At 43.9% G+C, this 25,406-nt stretch overlaps 1 protein-coding gene and 1 non-coding gene across 3 annotated transcripts in view, besides 2 other annotated features; one reads left to right on the top strand and one right to left on the bottom strand.

Moving 5' to 3' along the window:
• Nucleotides 1-19,834, bottom strand: part of SMYD1 (SET and MYND domain containing 1) — a 45,560-nt gene extending 25,726 nt beyond the window's left edge. For both annotated transcript variants that reach the window (NM_198274.4, NM_001330364.2), the window contains exons 1-2: nt 19,658-19,834; nt 3,167-3,343 (exon numbers count right to left, since the gene is read on the bottom strand). In NM_198274.4, the coding sequence (NP_938015.1) occupies nt 3,167-3,343; nt 19,658-19,794 (314 nt within the window). In that variant the 5' untranslated portion in view covers nt 19,795-19,834. The remainder of the gene's footprint in view (nt 1-3,166; nt 3,344-19,657) is intronic.
• On the top strand, nt 5,060-5,140 carry MIR4780 (microRNA 4780). The gene has a single exon (NR_039940.1). It is a non-coding gene; the product is annotated as a microRNA 4780 (primary transcript).
• Nucleotides 15,915-16,209: an enhancer, noted in NCBI's record as "tiled region #1533; HepG2 Activating non-DNase unmatched - State 21:Repr, and K562 Activating non-DNase unmatched - State 23:Low". NCBI's record gives its function as "activates a minimal TATA promoter and a strong SV40 promoter by Sharpr-MPRA in HepG2 and K562 cells {active_cell/tissue: HepG2 | K562}" and the evidence as "EXISTENCE:reporter gene assay evidence [ECO:0000049][PMID:27701403]".
• Nucleotides 19,978-20,378: an enhancer, noted in NCBI's record as "ENSG00000115593_2:88147915-88148315 (NCBI36/hg18 genome assembly) insert fragment". NCBI's record gives its function as "drives selective reporter gene expression in differentiated C2C12 myotubes {active_cell/tissue: C2C12}" and the evidence as "EXISTENCE:reporter gene assay evidence [ECO:0000049][PMID:22144875]".

Below are 25,406 nucleotides of genomic sequence, written 5' to 3'. Positions count from 1 at the left end.
TGCAGAAAAAATAATACAGGGTGGCATGATAGAGAGTGACTGGGGTGGGGAAGCTAAGGTCTTCCAGGGAAGTGTCACAGAGGAGGCACATTTGAGCTGGAATTGGAAGGGGTGGAGGAGCTGGCTCTGTGATACTGGAGAAAGAGCACTTCAGGAGAGGGCAGTGAGTACAAAGGCCCTGAAGAAGGAATGAGCTTGGCATGATGGAGAAGTAGCAGGAAGGCAGAGGTGGCTGGAGCACAGGGAGCAAGAAATGGAGACCAAATAAAGGTGGAGGTGTGGGCAGGAGCCAGGTTCCGTGGGGTCTGGGGAAACAGAGAGGTGCGGCAGCCTGGGTCTCTCAACAGTGTGGCCTACTGGGATGAGCCCTGCATCAGGAGTCTAATGACCTGTTTCCACTTCTTACTGTGTGAGCCTGGGCAAGTCACTTGACCTCTCTGAATCTATCTGGTGGCTTGTAAAATAGGGAAAATAGTCCCTGCTATGCTAACCTCCAGAGGTATTCAGAAGACAAAGTGAAGTAATAGGTGTCTGCATTGTGTGTGAAAGTATTGGTATTCTTTTTTTTTTTTTTTTTTTGGAAGCTATACAGTGTACTCTTTATTTATTTTTATTTTTTTGCAAAGTAAAACTCCACAAGCAAGCATTTTGGGGACTGTGGTGGGGTGGGGGGAGGGGGGAGGGATAGCATTGGGAGATGTACCTAATGCTAGATGACGAGTTAGTGGGTGCAGCGCACCAGCATGGCACATGTATACATATGTAACTAACCTGCACAATGTGCACATGTACCCTAAAACTTAAAGTATAATAAAAAAAAAAAAAGATAGGGATGGGTAGAGATAAGGATAGGGGTAATCTCCTAAAATAAATTTCATTTCTGAAATCGGTACTAATAGAAAGTTGATTGAAAACATAACATGATTTGTTTTATTCCACTTTATTTTTGGCAATCATAAGTATTGGTATTCTTAATGATTGGGGAGTGAGAAAGTGGAGAAGGCAATCTAGGCCGGGAAACAGTGTGAGCGGAGGCCTCGAGGCAGCCACGGGCATGCCACGTGCAGGAAGCAGGGAGGGGCCTGGCCTGGCCGGAGCGGGGCTCTGGGGGAAGAGGAGGAGGCCAGGTGGGACAGGAGGAGACCTATAGAGACACAGGGACTTGAGTATGAGACAAAGGGGTATACTTCACCCCGAAGCCCTCTTTGTTAACTATTAGGTGGCCTGTGATGAAGCTTATGACCCAGGGACACTTTAATGTTCCTGCCACCCACTGACTGCACACTTTTCAGGCATCTGGGAGGGGATGGTGGTCCAGGACAGATCCTGTCCCTGAGGAGAGATCTGCTGGGCAAAGCACAGGCCCTCTCCTCATTTTTTTTAATTGAAATTTTAATTGAGATAATTGCAGATTCACAGGCAGTTGGAAAACAATACAAAGAGATCCCTTGTACATTTTGCCCAGTTTTCTCCAATGGTAACATTTTAGAGAACTAATATCACAGCCAGAATATTAACCCACCTGTATCATTCAGATTTCTTCCGTTTTACTTACACTCATGAATGTGTATGTGTGTTTAATTATATACAATGCTATCACCTATGTAGCTTCATGTATCCACCTACACAGTCAAGACACTAAACAGTGCCATCACCTCAGGGTCCCTTCTGTCCCCCCACCTCTTTTTGAACCATTTTAACCATTTTTAAGCATACAGTTTGGTGGCATTAAGCACACTCACACTGCTGTGCAACCATCACCAACCATCTGTTTCCAGAACGTTTTTCATCTTCCCGATTTCTCCTGTTTGAGTCACTGAGTTATTTCTGGAGAAATGCCCCGCATGGGACTCCAGGTGCCTGGAAACTGAGGTGTCTTCACAGGGAGCCCAGGGCAGCACTGGGGAAAATACGACTCAGCACAGGGAAGATCTGCTGCCTCCAAATACCGAGGAAAGGGTCATGAAGCTCAGAGAATAGAGGTCAATGGGTGGTAGATTTCAACTCAGTCACTATCATAGGAGGTGCCATTTACTTCAGGTCTTGAAGGATATGTAGTGTTTCAATAGATGGAGCTAAGGGGCATGGAGAGGTTGACTGAGCCATTTCATCCTGCAGGTTCCTAAAAATCATCAGGATATGACAATTCCATTCTGTGCCTTAACTTCACACACTATGCACACAGTGAAAATGCTCCCAGTCACCATCTCCATCTCCTTTGCTCTGCAGTGCTGGCTTCCTGAGCATCTCCCTGCAGCCCAGCACTGAGCCCCACCCCAGCGGAACCTCCAGGATTGGGAATCTCTTGGGCTGGAGCTATAGGCCTTGAGATTCTGATGATGGCCACCAGGAAAGGCCATTAGTTGCAAACTCAAATGCACTCTCTGGTGTAATGTGTATGACCACAGGGAGCAGTGGTGCTGCTGTGACTTAGAACGCTCTGTATTTTTTCAAAGGTGGCAGATACTACTCAGCTCTAGCCTATTTTGCCAGATTTTCAGTTTTTTGTTTATTTTTTTTTTCAAGAGAAGTCAGAAATCCTAATTTTAAAATGTGAAATTTCCCAATTTTTAAACATTGGTGGATCAATTTAAAAATACTTGCCCCTTGTCCGGGCATGGTGGCTCACAGTTGTAATCCCAGCACTTTGGGAGGCCGAGACGGGTGGATCGCTTGAGCTCAGGAGTTCGAGGCTACCCTGGGCAACATGATAAAACCCCATCTCTAAAAAAATACAAAAATTAGCCAGATGTGGAGGTGTGTGCCTGTGGTCTCAGCTAGTTGAGAGGCTGAAGTGGGAGGATCACTTGAGCCTGGGAGGTCAAGGCTGCAGTGAGCTGTGATCAGGGCCCCTCCACTCCAACCTGGGCAACAGAGCAGACCCTGTATCCAAAATACCTAAATAAACTAAACATTGGGGAGCCCTACAGAAGGAATCTGCAAGCCAGTTTCAGCCTGTGACTGCAGTTTGGAATCACTGCTGTCAACAGCCAGTTCTCCCTCTTAGACCTTAAGGGAGTGAAGAGAAGTGACCATATCCAGTCTTTGAGGCTGTTTCCTGACTTGCACTCAGCTTGGCTTCCTTAGATCTGGGAATGTTGTTACTGCCACCATTCCAGCCTGACATTTGGAAATCTGAAGCACCACCAGGGTGCCCAGCTCTCACCTGATGTTCTCATTGGGCACCTTCCCATATCTCTTGATGGCCGAACATTCATTCTTGTGGTTCAGCCAAGCATCCTTCTGGCAGGTGCGGTCGCAGTAATGGGCAAACTTGCACTGCCCACAGCGATGGAGCTTCTCCTGCCTCTTGAAGCAGGTGTGGCACACAAAATTAACAAGGCTGGAAATGGAGAAAGAAGACACATGATTGGGAGCACAGTGGAAAGGGCACCCTGCAGCCAGTGGGACACCTGTGTTCCAGTACTGGTTCAGCTGGCTGGTCCTTATTTATCTAAACTTCAGATTTCCACCTTCCAAAATGAGGAGTTTGAGCCTCCAAAGGCCCTTCCCAGCTATAACAATTACTTTAGCAATTTTTTTTTTTTGAGACAGAGTTTCACTCTTGTTGCCCATGCTAAAGTGCAATGGCACGATCTCAGCTCACTGCAACCTCGGCTCACTGCAACCTCCGCCTCCCAGGTTCAAGCGATTCTTCTGCCTCAGCCTCCTGAGTAGTTGGGATTACAGGCATGTGCCACCACACCCAGCTAATTTTTGTATTTTTAGTACAGACAGGGTTTCACCATGTTGGTCAGGCTGGTCTCGAACTCCTGACAAGTGATCCACCCGCCTCAGCCTCCCAAAGTGCTGGGATTACAGGCATGAGCCACCGCGCCTGGCCTACCAAATATTTTTAAGTGACCCCCATGTGAAGGACACTCTTACCCTCTGCATATAAGCCCTTCAATTCAATTCAGGAAGGGTAAATTGATGACCTAAATGTATTAGGCACTGGGAATACCACAAATTACTAGAGAAACAATTGAACTTGCAGTGTGGTGAACTAGTGTTATTCAGAACACAGTATTGTATGCAAAATAATATCTACACACTATGATATATGTCACAGTTTGTGCATTTTGCAACAGTAAGAATGACAAGATTACTGATTTCACTGTCATTGACATATTCTCCCAGCTCAGAGCGAGGGTGGAAGTGATGAGGAGGAAAATGCATGCCCATTCGATGGGTGAGGGAGAGAGGTGTGGGAAGATGAGGATCCCCGCCCGGTGCTTCCAGCCTCTTAGTGTTCCCATTAGAGAGCCCCGTGTATCCCATGTTAAACCCATCGTTCAAACAGAAAAGGGCATAGGCTCCATAGGAAATGTATTTCAGGACACAGCCTGACATCCAGAGTGAGAGAAATCTGGTATGATGTACAGAATCTCTGGACCTCAACCTCATGCTCCCACAATGTGGGGAAGAGAAATCCTCACCTCTGAAGCAAAGAAATAATGAAAACCATTTCCGTGATGTGCAGGGGAGCGCTGAGCTCCTGGGAAGGAAGTGGATGGGTAAACTCAAGCAGATGTCCACAGTCTAAACAGGGATCTCCAAAGTATAAGAACACAGGAGCTTTTAGAATCACAGAATTCCAGAGCCTGGAGGGAGAAGCTTCCACAGAACATTCAGGCACAGAAATCCTTTGTGTCTATCCCTGGCCATGAATATTCTAATTCCCACAGTGAAAAGGAGTTCATTGTTTCTGAGAACAGTCAGTTCATTGTTGGCCAGTCCTAATTGTTGCAAACTTCCTCCTTGTGTTAAGCTTGAATTTGTCTCCCCAGAAAACCTGCTCCTGTACCCTAATTTGGCCTTCTGTGTCCTTGCCCAATGGAACAAGCCTGGTCAGGTCAGTTCTTCAAGAATTTGAAGACCACTGCCTTGCTTCCCATTCATTTCTCTCCTCCAAGTTAAATACTCCCAGATCTTTAAACAATTCTTTGTACATGGTTTCTAGAATTCTCACACCTTTCTGGTGGCCTCTGATACACCTACAGAAATCCCTGTAGCCGAAGGAGGTTGGGTTTAGCTGAGAAATCAAGCAAAATGTGCTGGCCAGTGCCAGGGGGTCAGGCTCAAGGACCAGCCCAAAGGCCAGGCCTGACCCTTGAGCCTGATCCCTAGCACTGATCCCAGCATGGCATCTGGAAGGGGATAGACAGGTGCAGAGCCAGCTGAGGGCACCGCAGGGGCTACTGCTCTATGCTACATCCTGGGCTTCCTAAAGTCCAGGCAGTTTTCAGCCTCTGGCTGGCCAGCTCAACACACTGCTGTGTCCCCATCCACTAGGAGGTGTATTGCTACTAATTTGTTAACAATCATAAAGTACTTGAGGGCGTGAAAGTTTAGTGCTTATTTCTAATAAGCAGATTCAAGGTTATCCTCATAGTAACAGCTTCCTTACTCTTGCCTTCCCTTAAACTTTCCTAGTGAGCAAGGAGTAGAATTACACTAGCATACTTAGAACTGCGCAGGATATGCAGCCCATCATAACTAGGCCACAGAGGGTGCACCCTCCCTGAGAAGGTCATTTGTCATAAGTGCCCCAGCAGAATAGAGCACATGGGGCCCACATGGAACTCCGGCCACTTAGTGAACTCTCTAAACCCCTGGAGATAGAGAGCTATGAATTTCTTACATCTGCCTCAAGTCAGGATTGCATTTTCTGGCAGGAATTTGCAGTCCATTAGCAGGAACTGGACTCCTGAAAAATCCAAGTAAATTGGATTCCAAGACGGCTCCAAATCTTGTCTCCTGGCCAAACACAGGTAAGAGCTTGGGTGTCAACACTTCACAATTATGGTGCCCAGAACAGAGTGTGCTATTCAGATGTGGTGCCATGTACACTTGCCGGATCTCCACATTATGCTTCCATTAGTTTCTTTAGTGAAAACCTCACATTAATTTAGGGTCAAATGGCCGGGTGCAGTGGCTCACACCTGTAATCCCAGCACTGTGGGAAGCCGAGGTGCGCAGATCACCTGAGGTCAGAAGTTTGAGAACAGCCTGGCCAACATGGTAAAACCCTGTCTCTACTAAAAATACAGAAATTAGTTGGGCATGGTGGGACATGCCTGTAATCCCAGCTACTCGGGAGTCTGAAGCAGGAGAATCGCTTGAACCCAGGGACAGAGGTTGCAGTGAGCCAAGATCGTGCCACAGCAATCCAGCCTGGGTGACAGATCAAGACTCTGTCTCAAAAAAAAAAAAAAGAAAAAATTAGGGTCAAATTACAAATATAGTCAGTAGAACCTCCCAAGCTTTCTCAAAGGTGCTGCAGTCAAGACAGAGTTTCCACTCTGTTTGTCTAGACAGAATTGCATTTTCTAGACATCTTTATGGAGGTATGATTGACATACAACAAGTGTTAAAAAATAACACTTTGATAGGTTCTGACATATGCATCTACCCACAGAACCATCATCACAATCAAGATAATGAACATATCCAGGCCAGGCGCGGTGGCTCACACCTGTAATCCCAGCACTTTGGGAGGCCAAGGCAGGTGGATCATCTGAGGTCAGGAGTTCAAGACTAGCCTGGCCAACATGGCAAAACCCCGTCCCTACTAAAAATACAAAAATTAGTTGGGCGTGGTGACGGGCACCTGTAGTCCCAGCTACTCCGGAGGCTGAGGCAGGAGAATCGCTTGAACCAGGGAGGCAGAGGTTGCAATGAGCCAAGATTGTACCACTGCACTCCAGCCTGGGCAACACAGTGAGACTCCATCTCAAAAAAAAAAAAAATTAAATAATGAATATATCCATCAGCTCAAAAGCTCCTTTGTGACACTGAATTTTTTAACTTGGAGTCTTCACCTTTATCCCTAACTGATGGTTTTCAAGGTAGCATTCCAAAACATCAAGGTCATTTTGAATTTTCTTCTGTCATCTTTTATATTGGTATGCTAACCTCTGAGTCATCTGCAAATTTCAGAGTATGTCTTAGGTTAGGAACGAGGAAGGAAGAGCAGATGTCCACCTCTGGGGCATCAGGGCTCAGACCAGGAATACAAACCCAAGGCAGGAGAGAAAGGGAGGAGAGCCAGGAGGTGGTCTGGAGAGGGAACAGTTAGACGCAAGCACAATCATGCTGTCTGTCCCTTGTAACCTGCCACTTGTAACTCCATGCCTGTCTGTTCCAAGGTCGCCCATCAGAGAGCAACCCCACACCAGAACTGCTCTCATATTTTACACCCAAATTGACATTTTAGAATAGCCTAGTACAATATCCTCCATCTTTTTATTCATATACATATATTCACACATTCATATTTCATGTATACACTAATATGTGTGCCTACCAAACAAAAACATTACACTTCACAATTCTCTGTTTTATTGTTTTAAATTTCAAACACAAATGAAAATTCCAGGTGATCACCTAGGTAATCACCTAGGTGAACACTTAGAACAACAAATTTTGAGTCTTCATCTTTATAATCACTGCTTATTTCTAATCTACTTAAAAATGTGGGAATATGTGGTATCACAAGGATTGGAGACATAGACTGTGGCCAACACAACCTGGAACAACTCTGAAGCTTAAGAATTTACCCTCACAATGAACACATGTAGTTGAGTCCACATGGCTGACTGTATAACCAAAGGTCCTCAGAATTAACTTCCAGGCAGAATACAATGTTTATTAAAAGATATGTAATTTTAAAATGTGCTAAAATGAGGTTTACCCAAGAGCAGTTTTTCAGAACTTAGACCCTTATGGATTTTGGGGTGAGGAGAAGTATTTTATCCTTGACGTTGTTTAGAATTGCTGGTACATGGTGGTAACAAAAAACAGATTGACTTTTATTGTTTTTTGTTTTTTCTTTTGAGATGGAGTCACACTCTGTAGCCCAGGCTGGAGTGCAATGACATGATCTCGGCTCACTGCAACCTCCGCCTCCTGGGTTCAAGCGATTCTCCTGCCTCAGCCTCCCGAGTAGCTGGGATTACAGGCACCCGCCACCACACCTGGCTAATTTTTGTATTTTTTAGTACAGACGGGTTTTCACCATGTTGGTCAGGCTAGTCTGGAACTCCTGACCTCGTGATCTGCCCACCTTGGCCTCCCAAAGTGCTGGGATTATTGTTTTTAAATTCTGTGCAAAGACCCCTTACTCAGTGACCTTATTGCAGACATCAGGGATGGACCCCTTGCATAACCCTGTCCTTACTTAGTCCACGCTGCTTGTGGGGTTTATTACGGCAAGTTTTCCTAGCCTGGCTCCAACAGAAAGAATATGTCTGGCCTGGCATTTGCCTCCAAGCTCCCATTAACTAACTTAATACACTTCTAATAGGGCCTGATTATAGAATAATCTATCTGCTATTAACTGTAGCCATATTATGTCCCTAAGAATAAATTCCAGTGGCATGACCCTCATGTTCTCAAAGTCACTAATAACCACTGTGACCAGGAGAAGGCTGGAGACAGAGCCTTCAGCTGCTGCAAAGCAGCCTTCACCCAAGATTGGGTGACAGGGAGAACATTACACTTATATAATCATTTTATCAAGCCTTGGATCAATTCCTGTTATCTCATGAGATTCTTTGCTGTAATAAACTTCGAATACTTTTCATAAAAAGAAAATGTGATCAATGATTTCTTTTCCCATGGTGAACTTGGATGGGTTCCAAATATGAACCACCAAATAGTTCCTCCAGGATCACAGATCTGTTTTATATCCCATTCTGTAATTTTGCTAGGGCCTAGAGCCAAGTTTTAAAAGCTGGTGAAACCCAGGAAGCATTAAGTTATCGTTCTTAAATTTAGGTTTCCTTTGGGATGAAGCTGAGCTTCTCTCTATGCCCTCGGCTGCTGGTAGGGCTTAGCTGCAAGGCTGGAGCTGGGGAGAAGGAGGATGCAGAGTCAGGCTTTTGGAACTTCAGTGTGCACACACAACACCAGCAATCTTGTTAAAACTCAGGTTCTGATTTAGTATGTGGGGTGGGGGCTGGGATTCTGCATTTCTAACAAGCTCCCAGGCAATACTGATGCTTCAACTTTGAGTAGCAAGAATTTTTTTGTTTTCCTTCAAATGTAGTCTGAAATTTTTTTTAAGCCTGTCCCTCTGGTTCCCATCTCCCCTCATCGGCATGGGGTTGGGTATTATGGAAGGTCAAACCTAGAGTTGGTCAGAGCTGGGTTCTACTCCTGACTCCAATATCTACTGGCTGTGTGACCTGGAGCAAGTCCCCTAACTTCTCCAAGCTTTTGTTTCCTTATGTGAAAATGGGAATAGCAACACCTAGATCTTGCTATCTTTTAGACTACTGACCAGTACTTTTGAATGAAATATACTTACTATTTTAAAAAATTCAAGCAAGATGAAAATTACAAGAAGTTCTGAAATCTCACCACTCTCATAGTGATTTTAGAGTTAAAAGAAATAACATGTGTAAGATGGTCAGCACAGAGCCTGGCACTGGATAAGTACTCAGTGGACATCAGCCCGGGCCACCCATCCTGCCTGTCACTCAGAGAGGGCTGGGCCAGGTTGATCGCTGAGCTCCTCTCACCCCCAGCACCAGCTCATTCCAGGCAGCTGCCAGAGAGGAAGACAGCCCAGCTACAGGAGAACATCGTATGGGGACAAGGGCACTCCCCTGACAGAAATGCCCATCCTGGTCGGGCATGGTGCCTCATGCCTGTAATCCCAGCACTTTGGGAGGCCGAGGCGGGTGGGTCACCTGAGGTCAGGTGTTTGAGACCAGCCTGGCCAACATAGTGAAACCCCGTCTCTACTAAAAATACAAAAAATTAGCCAGGCGTGGTGGCGGGCACCTGTAATCCCAGTTACTAGGGAGGCTGAGGCAGGAGAATCGCTTGAACCTGGGAGGCGGAGCTTGCAGTGAGCCGAGATCACGCCACGGCACTCTAGCCTGGGTGACAATGTGAGACTCCGTCTCAAAAAAAAAAAAAAAAAAAGAAATGCCCACCCCTCCCCTGCCTTACTGCCCCTAGTGCAGGAGAGTGTCCAAATAACATGAAGTCCTAAAGCCACTTTTTGGATTCCGAGAAAGAGCATTTGTCCCAGGCAGTCTTAGCTGGGTGACCTTCAGCAAGTCTCGTTTCTCCCGAGTCTTACATTCCTATTCACACAAGAAGGTATCAACTCCCACTTACACAGCACTTTGCCATTTCAAAGAGATGTTTTTAGTGATTCGTTTTTTTAAAAATCTTCACAGCAACCCTTTAGACTGGCCGAGATCATTATCCTCACAGGGATATTATTCTCTTAAGGGTCCCTGACGCCGGACGCTGCTCCCAGCACAGAAGGCGGGCGGATGCAGCTACAAGGCCCACCTGCTTGGCCTGCAGCCTTGAATGTGCCCTGCTCCAGCAGCTGGTCCCCTCTCACTCTGCTCTGCAGCCCTGCTGGACTCTGTGATCTGTCAGAGTGAAGAGGGCTGGAAGGGCAGCTGCTGCTCAGCTCCTTGTATGGAAATAGTTGCTCACGGACAGATAAATGCAAAGACAAGGTGCCTGCATGGTGGGCAAGCCCTCCAAAAACTCAGCCAGAGAGGACAGGACCAACAGTTCAACCGTTCTGTCTTTCAGGGATGCTTACAAACTCCCAGCCTGCCAGAAGGTCTCTCCTCAAAAATTAGAGGGAAGTGTCTTTTTTTTTTTTTTTTTGAGACAGGGTCTTTCTCTGTCCTCCAGGCTGGAATGCAATGGCATAATCACTGCTTATTGCAGCCTCAAACTCCTGGGCCTAAGCGACCCTCCCACCTTAGCCTCCCAAGTAGCTGGGACTACAGGCACATGCCACCACGCTTGGCTTGTTTTTATTTTTATTTTTTTGTAGAGATGGAATTTCATTATGTTGCCCAGGCTGGTCTCAAACTCTTGAGCTCAAGCGATCCGCCTGCCTCAGCTTCCCAAAATGCTGGGATTACAGGCGTAAGCCTGCTGTGCCCAGCCTGGGGTAGGTGTCTTAAAGAACATCCCATCCCTCAAGTACCCAGATAACTTCACAATATTTTAAATTCTTTTTCTCATTCCTTCTTCTTTTCTTCTTTCCCTCTGTCTTTCCTTCCCTCCCTGCTTCATTCTGCAAGTATTTATTGAGAATCTGTTATGTGCATTGAGCTAGGTAATAGAGGGCCTTAAAAGATAAAGGAAGGCGGGGCGCGGTGGCTCACGTCTGTAATCCCAGCACTTTGGGAGGCCGAGGCAGGCGGATCACAAAGTCAGAAGATCGAGAACATCCTGGCCAACACGGCGAAACCCCGTCTCTACTAAAAACAAACAAACAAAAAACAATTAGCTGGGCGTGGTGGCGGGCGCCTGTAGTCCCAGCTACTCGGGAAGCTGAGGCAGGAGAATCGCGTGAACCCAGGAGGCGGAGCTTGCGGTGAGCCGAAATCACGCCACTGCACTCCAGCCTGGGCGACAGAGCGAGACTCTGTCTCAAAAACAAAAAAGATAAAGGAAATACCGACTTTGCCTTCAAGCAGTCCCCAGGCTGGGATGGGACATAAACACATATAAACAAGGCAGGACCCACATTCCACAAGCATGGTAACTTGCTGTAAGTTTCGAGGAAGAGAGACTACTTCAACTGAGGTAGGAGAGGCAATCTAGAAAGGCATCACCTACGAGATGAGGAGGCATTGTTCTGACCTCGAGAGATAGGCTGAGTTTGTACTCAGAGAAGGTTGAGGTCTTCCAGAAAGAGGCACTGATAGGCAAATGTGTCGGTGTGGGGGTGTACATATAGGAGACAGAGTTAGCCGTTGGATGAGATCATGAGATTCATGTTTGCACTGACTATTAAATACCTTGACATAAGAAGTCAGTGGGGGCTGGGGTAGTGGCTTACACCTGTAATCCCAGAACTTTGGGAGGCTGAGGCAGGAGGATCACTTGAGCCCAGGAGTTTGAGACCAGCTTGGGCAAAATAGTGAGACCACTGCCTCTACAAAAAACAAAAATAAAAAGTAGCCAGCCATGGTGGCAGGCACCTGTAGTCCCAGCTACTCCAGAGACTGAGGTGGGAGGATGGCTTGGGCCCAGCAGGTAGAGGCTGCAATGAGCCATGATTGTGCCATGACACTCCAGCTTGACCAACAGAGTGAGACCCTATCTCAAAAAAAAAAAAAAAAAAAAAGAATTAAAAGGTACTGTTTCCTTGGATCAAGCCTGGAGATTGTCAATTTATTTTTAACATCCCTTTTTTTATTAAAACATCAATTCTCAAGATTTTCTCTGCCACAGCTCACACACCCTACTAAGACCTGTATACATTTCCATGGCCTAGCTGAAGCACCCCCCTCAATTCATGTTCAGAACACATCCTGGGATGCGAGTGGGTAAAGATAGCATCATTATGGGGACAACCTGCCATTTGATCTAATCCATCTTTAAAAGGCAATCATTCTCAGACTTCTGGATTTAAGAATTATTGAGCAATATTTAGCAATACAGCTCACAACAGGTTGTGTAACATGTCGACATGTCTTGCCTCTGCAGCTAAAAGTGCCAAATGAAAAGCAGAATTCTAAGTCGACTGTGGTTATTCTCAACATCCAATGCAAACATTTAAGGCTGTCACTTGAATAGTTTAGCACTTACTCATTTTCTGAACTAATTGTTCCGGAATTTCTCTAATCCTTTTATTAAATTATTTCCATTTATAGCATCATTTATCCCCCAATAACCAACCACCAGCTGTTATCAGATTAAAGGCCACATGTGTGTTTGTGTGTCTGCCAGGGCTGATCCTGCCATTCCCACATGCTCACACAGAATTACACTGACTAACCCCACCTGCTCTGCCGCACCTAAGAAAGCTCATAACTGGTTCCATTTTCAAAAAAAGCCTGGTTGACAGTAATTTATTTACAAATACTCAACTTTTTCTCATGTTCCCCACTATCTTTTTCCCTATATACACACTATATATACATAATCTCCGGGTCACTTTCAACTTTGTAACCAGAATAATTTAGAGACTGCTCAAGTTTTTATTTAAAGAACTTTTAAAAAAAAATCCACTAACTGTCCTTGCTCCTTCTTAACATATTTTGTGATGAATTGGATCAATCTAGAAAATTCTTTTTCGTTGGGGTAGACTGAATAATAGCCCCCCAAAAATTGTCAATGTCTTAATCCCCAGAACTTATAAATAGATTACATTACATGGCAGAGGAACTTTGCATGAGTGATTAAGTTAAAGACCTTGAGACAAGGACAGTATCCCAAATTTCCTAGGTGGGCCTAATGTAATTGCAAGTCCTTATAAGAGGAGGCAGGAGGTCAGCAGGGAACAAGATGTTACACTGCTGGCTTTAAAGATTCAGGAAGGGGGCCATGAGCCAAGGAATGTGGGCAGCCTCAAGTAGATGGAGATAGCAAAGAAACAGAAGTGTCAGCCTGTTTTAGACTTCTAACCTCCAGAACTATAAGATAATAAACTTGTGTTGTTTTCAGCCATTGAAGTTACAGTAGTTTGTGACAGCAGCAAAGGGAACTAAAGGCCAGGTGCCTAGGGGCTCACGCCTGTAATCCCAGCACTTTTGGAGGCTGAGGCAGGCAAATCTCTTGAGGTCAGTAGTTTGAGACCAGCCTTGGCAACATAGTGAAACCCCATCTTCTTTCCCTCTCTCTTTCTCTCTCTTTCCTTCCCTCCCTGATTCTTTCCACAAGTATTTATTGAGCATCTGTTATGTGCATCGAGCTAGGTAATAGAGGGGAGAACTAGACATAAAGGAGTAATAAACAAATGAGTTATGCATATACTTAAAAATTGAGGGCATCAAAAGAAAACAACAATTCATAAAAGAACAAATGTTAAAAAACTTTCACTTCTCTAATAATAAAAAATTCAAGTTAAAACAATACTAAAAAAAGTTTTAACAGATTAAGTTGACAAACATGAAAAAGTGAAATAGTTTTCTGTGTTGGCCAGTATTGGGATGAGGAGACAACCCCTGTGCTGCTAGTAGAAAAATGTATGATCTCCTTTGATGAGGTAATTTGGAAATCTATATCAAAAGCCTTAAAAACGTATTTTGAATTCAAAATTTATACTTGTAGGAATTTGTCTTTAATACATAATCAGAGATATATGGGAAGATCTACTAGGAAAAAGAAGAGCACACCCTTGATCTCCAAAACATAGCATCTACAAATTAGTTCAGCCCTTGTAGAAAGCAGCCTGGAGAGTTCTCAAAAAACTAAAACTAGAATTACCATTCGACCCAGAAATCCCATTACTGAATATCTACCTGAAGGAAAATAAATTATTCTACCAAAAACACACCTGCACTCATATGTTTATCACAGCACTATCCACAGTAGCAAGGACATGGAAACAACCCAGGTGCCCATCAATGGTGGATTGTATAAAGAAAACCTGGTGCATATATACCCTGTAATACTACACAGCTGTTAAAAAAGAACAAAATCACGTCCTTTGCAGCAATATGGGTGCAACTGGAGGCCATTCTCCTAAGCAAATTAATGCAGAAACAGAAAACCAAATAACATGTTTTCATTTTGAAGTGGGAGATAAACATTGGGTATGTATAGACACAAAAATGTGAACAATAAACACTGGAGATTCCAAAAGGGGAGAGGGAGGGAGAGGGTGAAGAATTGAAAAGCTACCTATAGGGTACCATGTTCACTACCTGGGCAAGCAGATTATTAGAAGCCCAAACCTCAGCATCACACAATATGCCCATGTAGCAAACCTGCACATGTACCCCCAAAATCTAAAATGAAAATAAAAACTAATATATGGCATCTAATTAAATTAATATACAAGTCAACAAAAAGAATACTATGCAGCCATTAAAATGGTGTAGAAGGATATTAATGGTTTGAAAGTTGTTCACAACATATTATGAAGTAAATAAAACAGGTTACAAAATAATCCAACTTTTTTGAGAGAAAAAGTGTATACAACTTAATTACATTGAACCTGAAATTATTAAATGCACCATTTTTATTCACTACTAAGAAATCAAAAAAAATCTGCCAATTAAACCATAATCAGCCATAGATTTTAGGATACATTATGATTTCAGAGAAGTTAAAATATGTATTCTGGAATTGATAAATATAGCATATTATGTATGTCCCATTTTCCCTCCATTCTGAAATAAACTTCTTTTCCCATATTTTAATATCCAGAATTTAGGGACATTTTGTGTCTTACAATCAAAGCATATATTTAATGTAGTGTTTCTGCCAGGCGCAGTGGCTCACGCCTGTAATCCTAGCACTTTGGGAGGCCAAGGCCGGCAGATCACTTGAGGCCGGGAGTTCGAGACCAGCCTGGGCAACAGGGTGAAACCCTGTCTCTACTAAAAATACAAAAATTAGCTGGGTGTGGTGGCATGCACCTGTAGTCCCAGCTACTCGGGAGGCTGAGGCAGGAGAATCACTTGAGCCCAGGTGGCAGAGGTTGCAGTGAGCCGAGATCTCACCACTACACTCCAGCCTGGCTGACAGAGCAAGATTTCATCTCAAAAAATAAAAATAATAACAATAATAATGTAGTATTTCTTCCAGGACCCCCACCCCACCTATAACTCATCAGAATCAAGAAAACATTTTATATGCATTGTATTTGCATCAGAAAACAAGGAGGATATACACCAGAATGTTAATAGCTGGGGTTTTTTTTTTTTTTCCAAATGTTAAGATTGCAGAGAATTATTATTTTCTTCCTTAACAACAACAACAAAACCCAGCATTGCGAATTCCCAGTTTGACCCCATGCTATGTAGAAGCTAGGAGGATCACTTGGGCTAAGGTACCACAGAGCTCCCACTCACTTTCCCCCTGAGAACTGGAAACTCTCAGAGTGGAGAGTTAAAGGGGCAGAGAGCAACTTTTACCCACTCGTGCATCACCCCCGGTATCTCAACTACCATAAAATACTGTGTCCAAAAAAGGCAACCCCTTGGTAACGGTACTTCACTCCCTTCCAGCCCCCAACCACAACACCTAAGAGGATGGCAAATAGACTTCATTTTTAAATGCTAGTTCTCATTGATTGGTAGTAGCCCCCTGGAGGACCTGCTGGAAGGGATTCTGAGGCCAAGTTGGAGTTCAGGAGGAAGGTGTGCCTGATTGATTAGTCATGCCTAGCACTTAATCCAAGTGCTACATAATAGCTAGGCCTGAAAGAATTTTCCCAGCTTTATTCTTGCTCTCTTACCTTCAAGAAGAGTACCTGCTTTTCCGACCATCAAAGGTGAAGAGATCCTAACCAGACTAAGGACCATAATTTAAGGGCCTGGATTGTTACTGTTAATGCTAAACAAAGCCCATTCTAACAAAGACACAATTCAGGTTTACAAACCAGCATTTCACAGTATGGCATTATATTTTAAAGCCAAATAACACATATATTACTGGCCTAGTAATTACACTTCTGTGATACACACCTCATGTATCTGCTTTCCAAGAGATAGGAGCAAAAATGTTCATAGCAACCATTCACAGGAGAATGGAAAAATAAATTTGGTACACAGACACACACAAAGTTTATTCATTTTATTAGTTTCACAAAACCATACAGATGAATAATAAACATTTCATTGAAAGAAACAAGTGGCATAAAACCACATATAATATTGTACCTTTGTTTAAAAGATCAAAAACAAAACATAACTAAATTATACATTGTTTAGAAATATGTGACTGTGATAAAACTATTACTGTTTTTTTTTTTTTTTTTTTTTTTTTGAGAAATAGTCTTGCTCTGTCACCCAGGCTAGAGTGCAGTGGCATGATCTTGGCTCATTGCAACCTCTGCCTCCCGGGTTTAAGCGATTCTCTCACCTCAGCCTTCTGAGTAGCTGGGATTACAAGCACCTGCCATCATGCCTGGCTAATTTTCGTATTTTTGTAGAGACAGAGTTTCACCATGTTGGCCAGGCTAGTCCTGAACTCCTGACTTCAGGTGATCCGCCCGCCTGGTTCTCCCAAAGTGCTGGGAATACAGACATGAGCCACCACACCCGGCCAAAACTATTATTTAAAAGGCAGTAGAATATACAACACAAAACCTAGGATAATTACCTTTGGAGCAGGCATGCAACAGGATAGAGAAGATGTAACATATTGGAATATTCTAGTTAAGTTGGTTTGGTGTTGATTTATTGCTATGCTTTATATAATATATGTTAGAATATATACAATATAACATATAATATATATGTTAGAATATATAATACACACTGTTTGAAAGAATTAATTTTCATTTAATGCAGTGCTCAACTAAAAATAAAATCTTTCTCCACATTTGTGTGGAAGAGTAGGAAAGCCTGTCTTGCAGTAAGATGGATTAAAACAAGCCAGTTTTGTACAGTGACTTTTGTGGGTGACTCAGTCCCACCTCTGCAATCAAGTTTCTCATCTATGGTGGCTGAGCCTCACCAGGAGCCTAAAATGCATAAAACTTTCCTTTAATGCCTCTTTGGGCTGTCTCTGGTATAACCAAAGAAAGCACAGCTCCCTCATCTATGCAGTGACAAGTTTGGGTAAAGCATTTTTTGAAAAAAAAACTATCTCTTTTAGATTTTTTTTCAATCATTTTAAACGTCATTTATACCAATTATCCCACTTTTATTACCATTGTAAAAATAATATATGATTTTATGTAGCATTTATCTGCAATGTATATGAAGGTGTTTTTATAGTTGTTACTTCAAATGAATGACAAATTATTTATAATAACAAAAACATGGAAACAATCCAAATGGCCAGTCATCAGCAGGTAATAGAAGAAGACGTAGCCCTTAAGTACTATGTCTCTGAAGAGTGTATAATAGCACAGAAGATGTCAAAATTATTAAATGAAAAAGCATAATAGCTTGTATAATGAGTATATTACAGCCAAATGAAACCTATGTTTTAAAACAAACCGAAAATAGATACCCAACATGTTAAGAGTGGTTATCGCTGTGTGATGTCTTATCTTTCTAAATTTTCTAAAATGACAATGCCTTGCTTTTATAATGGAATGAAAGCCCATTCAACTTTAACCTTCTTGAAATGGAACTGATTGGCTAGATTGACTTTGGGGAATTGGAAGCAGCAAATGGAGATGTTCTTCACAAGGCCAGGCAGTAACTCACTGGCAGCGCCAGAATTAGTGTTGACAGTCCCTGTGTTTCTGGGTTGTTTTCACTCTGAATCCAGCTGGCTCCCTAACTGTACTCACCCCTCCCCTGACACATACACATACACACACACAGATTAATGAAATAAGACAAGCTCCCCCTGAAAAAGTCACCTCAGCCCCTTATTTTCCTCAAGTGGTGGTGAGCCATATGCCCCAGTTCACACCCTTTTCCCTGAAGGTCTTAGTGGGCAGGAAGACAAGAGAATGTGAATACTAATCAAGTTATCTGTGGGAAGCAGTGCCCTTTCCCAGGGTGGTCAGTGCAGCCAGCCAACCACAAAGCCTAGGTTATCAGACTCAAACCACATAGATGTCAAGCAGGTCACCCCAACCTTGATCTCAGAAAATATTGACAATTTAATGTAATCACCATGTAGGTTTGTTTAAAATGAAGATTTATTACTAATTTAAAAGCTTGGTAGTCTAGTGTGGCCAAGGTCGTGAGGAAGCGGGAATGTAAATTTAATAGAGCCTGTTTGGAGAGCCTATAAAACTGAAAACATCACATCCTACGGCCCAGCAATTCCTCTTCTAGTCCTGTGCCCTGGAGAACAATCGAACATATGTACAGGTAGACACGATCAAGGATTTTCATTTTATTTCATGAAAAATTAAAAACTACCAATTGTCTCTCAATAGGGGAATGGATAAATAAAATGTCATATATTTATAGGATGAAATATTTAAAATTAAGATTGATGATTCATATGGCATATGAATCTATATGGATAGCTCTATAAAGGAAATAGATCTTTGGAATTTAAAAGAAGTATCTATAGATTTAAAGTTCCTGCAAGGATAGACATCAAAAACGTGTTGTTTAGGGAAAAGAGTGAGTTCTAAAATGACATCTGAAGTATGACACCATTTCTGTAAAAAAAAAAAAAAAACCAGACAGACTACAGCCATCCATCTTGTTAAGTGCAGATATATGTATGTAATAGCACAGGAACATTCTAGAAGGAAATACATTGAAATAATAGCAGGGGTAATATCTGAGGAAAGACAGAGGGGACTGGGATTGGGTGATACTCAGATTTTTCAAGGGAAAGTGGATTCCTGGGTTATTCATAATTATAAATATACAAATAGTTCATAATTTTTAAAGTCTCAGCAATTACTTTATCTGGTAATGTATTTATAATAAAAAGAAAGCTAAAAATATAGAGCTTTCTGTCGGAAAATGTTTCCCACAGCACCACACCCACCTTTCCACTCCCAGCACACCCTCTCAGCCAAGTTGGCCAGTATTGGGAGAAAGTGCCCCCGAAGCCTTTGCTCACCTTCACCACCCTTCTAGGAGCCACAGCAAATCACACTGGCAATGATCCCTTGCAGAAAAATTTGTGCCAGAAAAATTAGCTCTCAGAAGTGCCATTTTGTTGAAAAAAGAGCACATGAATTTTATCCCTTCCCCTGATGATTTTTGAGAGCAAAGTATTTTAGAGTTTGGCCCCAGCCAAACTAACAGGAGAGAAGGCAACTCCCCACATTTCATACCTGTCAAAAACCACTGCGGAATAAGCCCGCTCAGCAAAGATGATATCTGCAGCCCAGAACTCCTTGGTGGCCTTCAGACCCCTTCCTTTGCCCTCAGCGGTGAAGACCTCCACGTTCTCCATTCTCCCTATTGTCATCTCAGAGACTGTCAGGCCAGCGCGGCAGTTATTTAACACTGAGCCAAGTCTCTTGTCATTGCTATTTCAGCACCTTCAGCATCCCAAAGAGCAAGACTATAAATGGACAAGCCACCTCCCCTTCCCTACTCGCTCTCAGCTACTGGGCCCTCACCTCCCCCTCTGCTACTTTTCCTGGAGGTGGGGATGGGACAGACAAGAGAACAAGTGAACTGGGAAGAGTTTCATTCATCACCCAGCAAAGCCGACAGAACAGAAAATGACCATGGGTTAATATGGCATAGGGCCTGAAAAGTTTTGAGAGGTTCCATTGCAAGCAGAAGCTATCTGTATGTGCTAAGTTCTGAACTGCAACAATCCTGTTCGGCTTTAGTTGGAGTAGGGAACATTTGGTCAGGAGGGTATTTTTAGCAGCCAGATGCCTCTGTCAATCAAAAGCAGACAGCTGGAATGGTCCCATAGAAACAAGGTGATATTTGCTGCTCTGGGACCCTTCAGCTGTCAGGCTTGCACTTTCTCAAGTGAGATGGGCCCTCGCCCCACCCTTTTCAGTCTCTCTCCCAAGGGTGGACTGTTTAGCAGCAGAAGCTAAACTGAGGGCTGGGCACGGTGGCTCACGCCTGTAATCCCCACCTTGGGAGGCCGAGGCACATGGATCATCTGAGGTCAGGAGTTCAAGACCAGCCTGACCAACATGGTGAAACCCCGTCTCTACCAAAAATACAAAAATTAGCTGGGCGTGGTGGCGGGCGCCTGTAATCCCAGCTACTGAGGAGGCTGAGGCAGGAGAATTGCTTGAACCTGGGAGGCAGAGGTTGCAGTGAGCCGAGATCGCGCCATTGCACTCCAGCCTGGGCGACAGAGTGGGACCCCGTCTCAACAAAAAATTAATAAATAAATAAATAAATAAATAAATAAATAATAAGAAGAAGCTAAACTGAGCCCTTGGCATATACGTAACAGTACTATTTAGGCTCCAAGGGGGCATTTTTCCTCTCCAGTATCACCTGGGGCTCTTACAGCACCCCCTACTCCACAGCATGGAATTCCCTGTTCTTAGCACTGCTGGTGATGCTGGTATGCTGGAGGCAGGCTGGATACAGACAAGGCAGGCTATAAAAATAGCAACCCCCATCTCTATCTTTCTATCAAATTTCCTTTAACATGTGTCTGCTGCCAGGAAAATACCAACGTGCTCTGTCCTTCTTCTTACTCAGGAGTGAGGACACTGGAAAGACGAATCTAAAATCCCCGTTGAACTAAATGCCACTGTTCTTGGCTATCAGGCAGCTTTTACTGAGGTTTAAAAGAAATACACTTGCAGATCTGGAGCTCTGGCTTGACTTCCATGTAAGATTTTTAGTTCCTGGGATGCATCTATTTCCTGGTGGGGGTTGGGGGTGGGGGTGACGGCGGGGGTGGGGGGCAGTGGGCAGGGGCATTTCCTGGATTTTTCTGAGTGTATGGTTTCTGAGTCAGATGAATCTGAGTTTGAATTCTAAGCCTGCTACTACCACTTGAGATGGAACCTGTGAAACAAGGGTGATAATTTCTACCTCACTGGATTGTGAGAGTTAGATAATATGTAAAAGGGGATAACACAGCACTTAGCACTTCATAAAGTACTCATTAAGTGATAGCTATTCTATTTTATTTACTCTGTCACATTATCCTCCCTAAACTATCACGATGTACCAGAAATTTTAACATGTCTTCAACCAATTGAATCTCCCAAAACACCTTCGACTCTTGGAAGCATGTTGAAAGTTCATTGTCTGATCATATATCCTGATTTTTAGGTAAGAATACATAGCCATGACAGCAAGAGAATATCTCTGCAGCTTCTGATGTACACTGAAGAGCAAAATAACTTAAGACATGTAAAGTTAGGTGCCTCAAAAAGTAAACACTGCATGCTCCCAAGGGGAAAAACAATTCTACAAAACAGAGAGTTAAAAAAAGAGAAAGAGGCCGGGCACAGTGGCTCACGCCTGTAATCCCAGCACTTTGGGAGGCGAGGCAGGTGGATCACAAGGTCAGGAGATCGAGACCATCCTGGCTAACACGGTGAAACTCCGTCTCTACTAAAAATACAAAAAATTAGCTGGGCGTGGTGGCCGGCGCCTGTGGTCCCAGCTACTGGGAGGCTGAGGCAGGAGAATGGCGTAAACCGGGGAGGCAGAGCTTGCAGTGAGCCAAGATCACGCCACTGCACTCCAGCCTGGGCAACAGAGCAAGACTCCGTCTCAAAAAAAAAAAAAAAAAAAAAAAGAGAAAGAAGGCCAGGCGCAGTGGCTCATGCCTGTAATCCCAGCACTTTGGGAGGCCGAGGCGGGTGAATCACTTGAGCCCAGGGGTTTGAGACTAGCCTGGGCAACATGGTGAAACCCTGTCTCTACCAAAAATACAAAAAATAAACCAGGCATGGTGGCGCATGCCTGTAGTCTCATCTACTCAGGAGGCTGAGGTGGGAGGACCACTTGAGCTCATGAGGCAGAGGTTGCAGGGAGCCATGATCATGCCACTGCATTCCAGCCTGGGTGACAGAGCAAGATCTTGTCTCAGAAAAAAAAGAGGGAAGGGGGGGGGGGGAGGGGAGGGGAGGGGGGGAGGGGAGGGGAGGGGGGAGGGGAGGGGAGGGGGGGAGGGGAGGGGAGGGGAGGGGAGGGGAGGAGTAGCAGAGCAAGCTCTTGTCTCAGGAAAAAAGAGGGAAGGGGAGGGGAAGGGAGGGGAAGGGAGGGAAGGGAAGGGAGGGGAGGGGAGGGAAGGGAAGGAAAGCGAAGTGAAGGGGAGGGGAGGGGTTTTCAGGAAAGGAGAGGAGAGGAGAGGAAATATTAAAAAGGTTTTTTCCCTGTAATCCCAGCACTTTGAGAGGCCAAGGCAGGCAGATCACGAGGCCAGGAGATTGAAACCATCCTGCCTAACATGGTGAAACCGCGTCTCTACTAAAAATACAAAAATTAGCTGGGCGTAGTGGCACACGCCTGTAGTCCCAGCTACTCAGGAGGCTGAGGCAGGAGAATCACTTGAACCCAGGAGGCGGAGGTTGCAGTGAGCCGAGATCATGCCACTGCACTCTAGCCTGGGTGACAGAGCGATACTCCATCTCAAAAAAAAAAAAAAAAAAAGGTTTTTTTCAATCCAGGTTGACTCCCAATGAATACCCTGTATCCACATTGCCTGGCAACTCAGGGTCTTGCAATAACTTGTCTGCCCTCAGGGGCCAGGGGCTCAGCCTGGCTCAGATGAGCTTGTTCCCTAGACTAGGCACTCTTGGAGCAGGTTCAGCCCAAGCCACGGACAAGGAAGAAATTTACCAGCCCCAAGACCATATGGAGAGAGGAAGCCCAGGACTTTAATTATACCTGTGGGCCTCAACCTTATCAGAACAATGGTTATTATATTATTAAAGGGTGGTAGACAGAATAACAGGCCCCAAAGATGTGCAGATTCTAATGCTTAGATCTGTGAATATGTTACCTTATATGGCAAAAGGGACTTTGTGAATGTGATCAAGTTAAGGATCTTGAGATGAGAAGATTATCCTAGATTATCCTGGTAGGACCAATGTAATCATGAGGATCCTTATAGGAGGAAGGCAGGAGGGCCAGGGTCAGAGGAGATGCGACAATGCAACCAAGAGGGTCAGAGTCAGAGAGATATTGAAGGGGCTGTGTTGCTGACTTTAAAGATGGAAGAAGCGGCCATGAGCCAAGAAACTGGAAAAGGCCAGGGAACAGATTCTTACCCTAGAACCTCCAGAGGGAACACAGCCCTGCGGACCTTGATTTCAGCCATGTAAAGTCCATTTCTGGCTTCTGACCACCAGAACTGTAAGATAATAAATTTATGTTCTTTAAAGTCTCTAAATTTGTCATATTTTGTCACAGCAGCAATAGTAAATATAGTAAATATTTACTATATTAGTCTCATTATAGTAAATATTATGTAACATGCTTTTTGTTACTTTAAAGTGAAATTCTTACATAATATAATTTATTCGTTCTTATACCTAAGAAAAATGACTAGTCTAATCTAACAAAGGTGAAAGAAAATCAAAGTTAATTTGTAGTAATATCTATTTATTGTAAATTAAATGTGTAAATGTGCTCACTATGCATATGCTTGGGTACAACTATATTAGAAGATGAGATAAAATGGCTAGATGTTTGTACCTCTAAGTGGAATCACTATGATAGTGAGAACAAAAATGCAGATTGATTTTGAGGACACAAATACCATATTGTTGCCTGTGACCATAATTTTCTGAAATGGTGAGCGACTCTTAGGGGAGTTCTAAACAAAATAAAGTTTGATCTTTCTTTGGTTAACAAGAAGTTGCATTGCTGGAAAATTCAGCATATATTAAAACTTTACAAAAACTACTTTACGATTACTTACAAAATGGATTTCCAGACTCAGACAATCATAAACTGGCTTTTTGCCTACCTGAAGAGCACATACAGATATTTGAGGCTGTGCGGGGTGGGCAGAGAGTCTTCATTGTACCAGGCTGTCCCCTGCTTCTCAGGGGATCTAGCATCTCTGGCCAGGATTAAGGACACAGAGTTGACAGTAGTTCCCAGACTGTTGGTGGGGAAGGGGGCATAAGGCCTTCATATGTCACGTATCAACATCAATCCTATGTAAAAGTTTTTTGCCCATCTGCCTGTGCTGCAGCCCTTCCCAGTTTGTTTTTCCCCCTACTGAAATCCAACCCTTTTTTGATGACTTTGGTGCTGCCGAGAATATGCCTGTAGCATCCTGCAATCATTGTGACAAACAAAAGTTCTTCCCACATTTCTAAAATGCTTCCTATGTAGTAGATTTGCCTCCATTGAGAACTACTGGTCTTTGTCTTGAGAAAAAGCACATCTAGAGTTTTGAAAAGATTTCTTATTGATACAGGAGATAGAAAAATTATTTAGGCCGGGCACAGTGGCTCACACCTGTAACCCCAGCACTTTGGGAGGCCAAGGTGGGTGGATCACTTGAAGTCAGCAGTTCGAGATCAGCTTGGCCAACATGGTAAAACCCCGTCTCTACTAAAAATACAAAAACTAGCCAGGAGTGGTGGTGCATGCCTGTAATCCCAGCTACTAGGGAAGCTGAGGCATGAGAATCACTTGAACCTGGGAGGTGGAGGTTGCAGTGAGCCGAGATCATGCCACTGCACTCCAGCCTGGGTGACAGAGCAAAACTCTGTCTCAAAAAAAAAAAAAAAAAAAAAAAACTGTTTAGGCAGAGAGTGAGGGCAAAAGAGTGCGCAGCAGAACTTCCCTTCTAACAAAAAGCAGCCCTAGAAATCATTTCCTTCTAGCAAAGAACAGCCTGGAAGACCGAACTGCAAACATAGATAAGGAAGCTGGAAGCTTGCACAGGGGATGCTGGCAGCTGCACCAATAGAAAAGGGCTACCTGGGGGCCAGGCATGTCGAACATGGGGCTCTGCCTTCCCTTTTTTGTTAGCATGTGTACAGTAAAAAAGAAATGGGCCACAAAGAGAAGCTCAGGTAGAAAACCCACCTGCATAATAAAAGATTGGGGTGGGGGCTGTCAGAGATTCGAGCCCTGTGCAGATGACACACCTGGTCCTAACCCATTTTTCACATC

The sequence above is a fragment of the Homo sapiens genome, chromosome 2 (genome assembly GCF_000001405.40).
Source record: "Homo sapiens chromosome 2, GRCh38.p14 Primary Assembly".
In the NCBI taxonomy this organism is placed as follows: Eukaryota; Metazoa; Chordata; class Mammalia; order Primates; family Hominidae; genus Homo; species Homo sapiens.
Note: the sequence above shows the minus strand (reverse complement) of the source record. Positions and strands in the feature narration are given on the sequence as shown.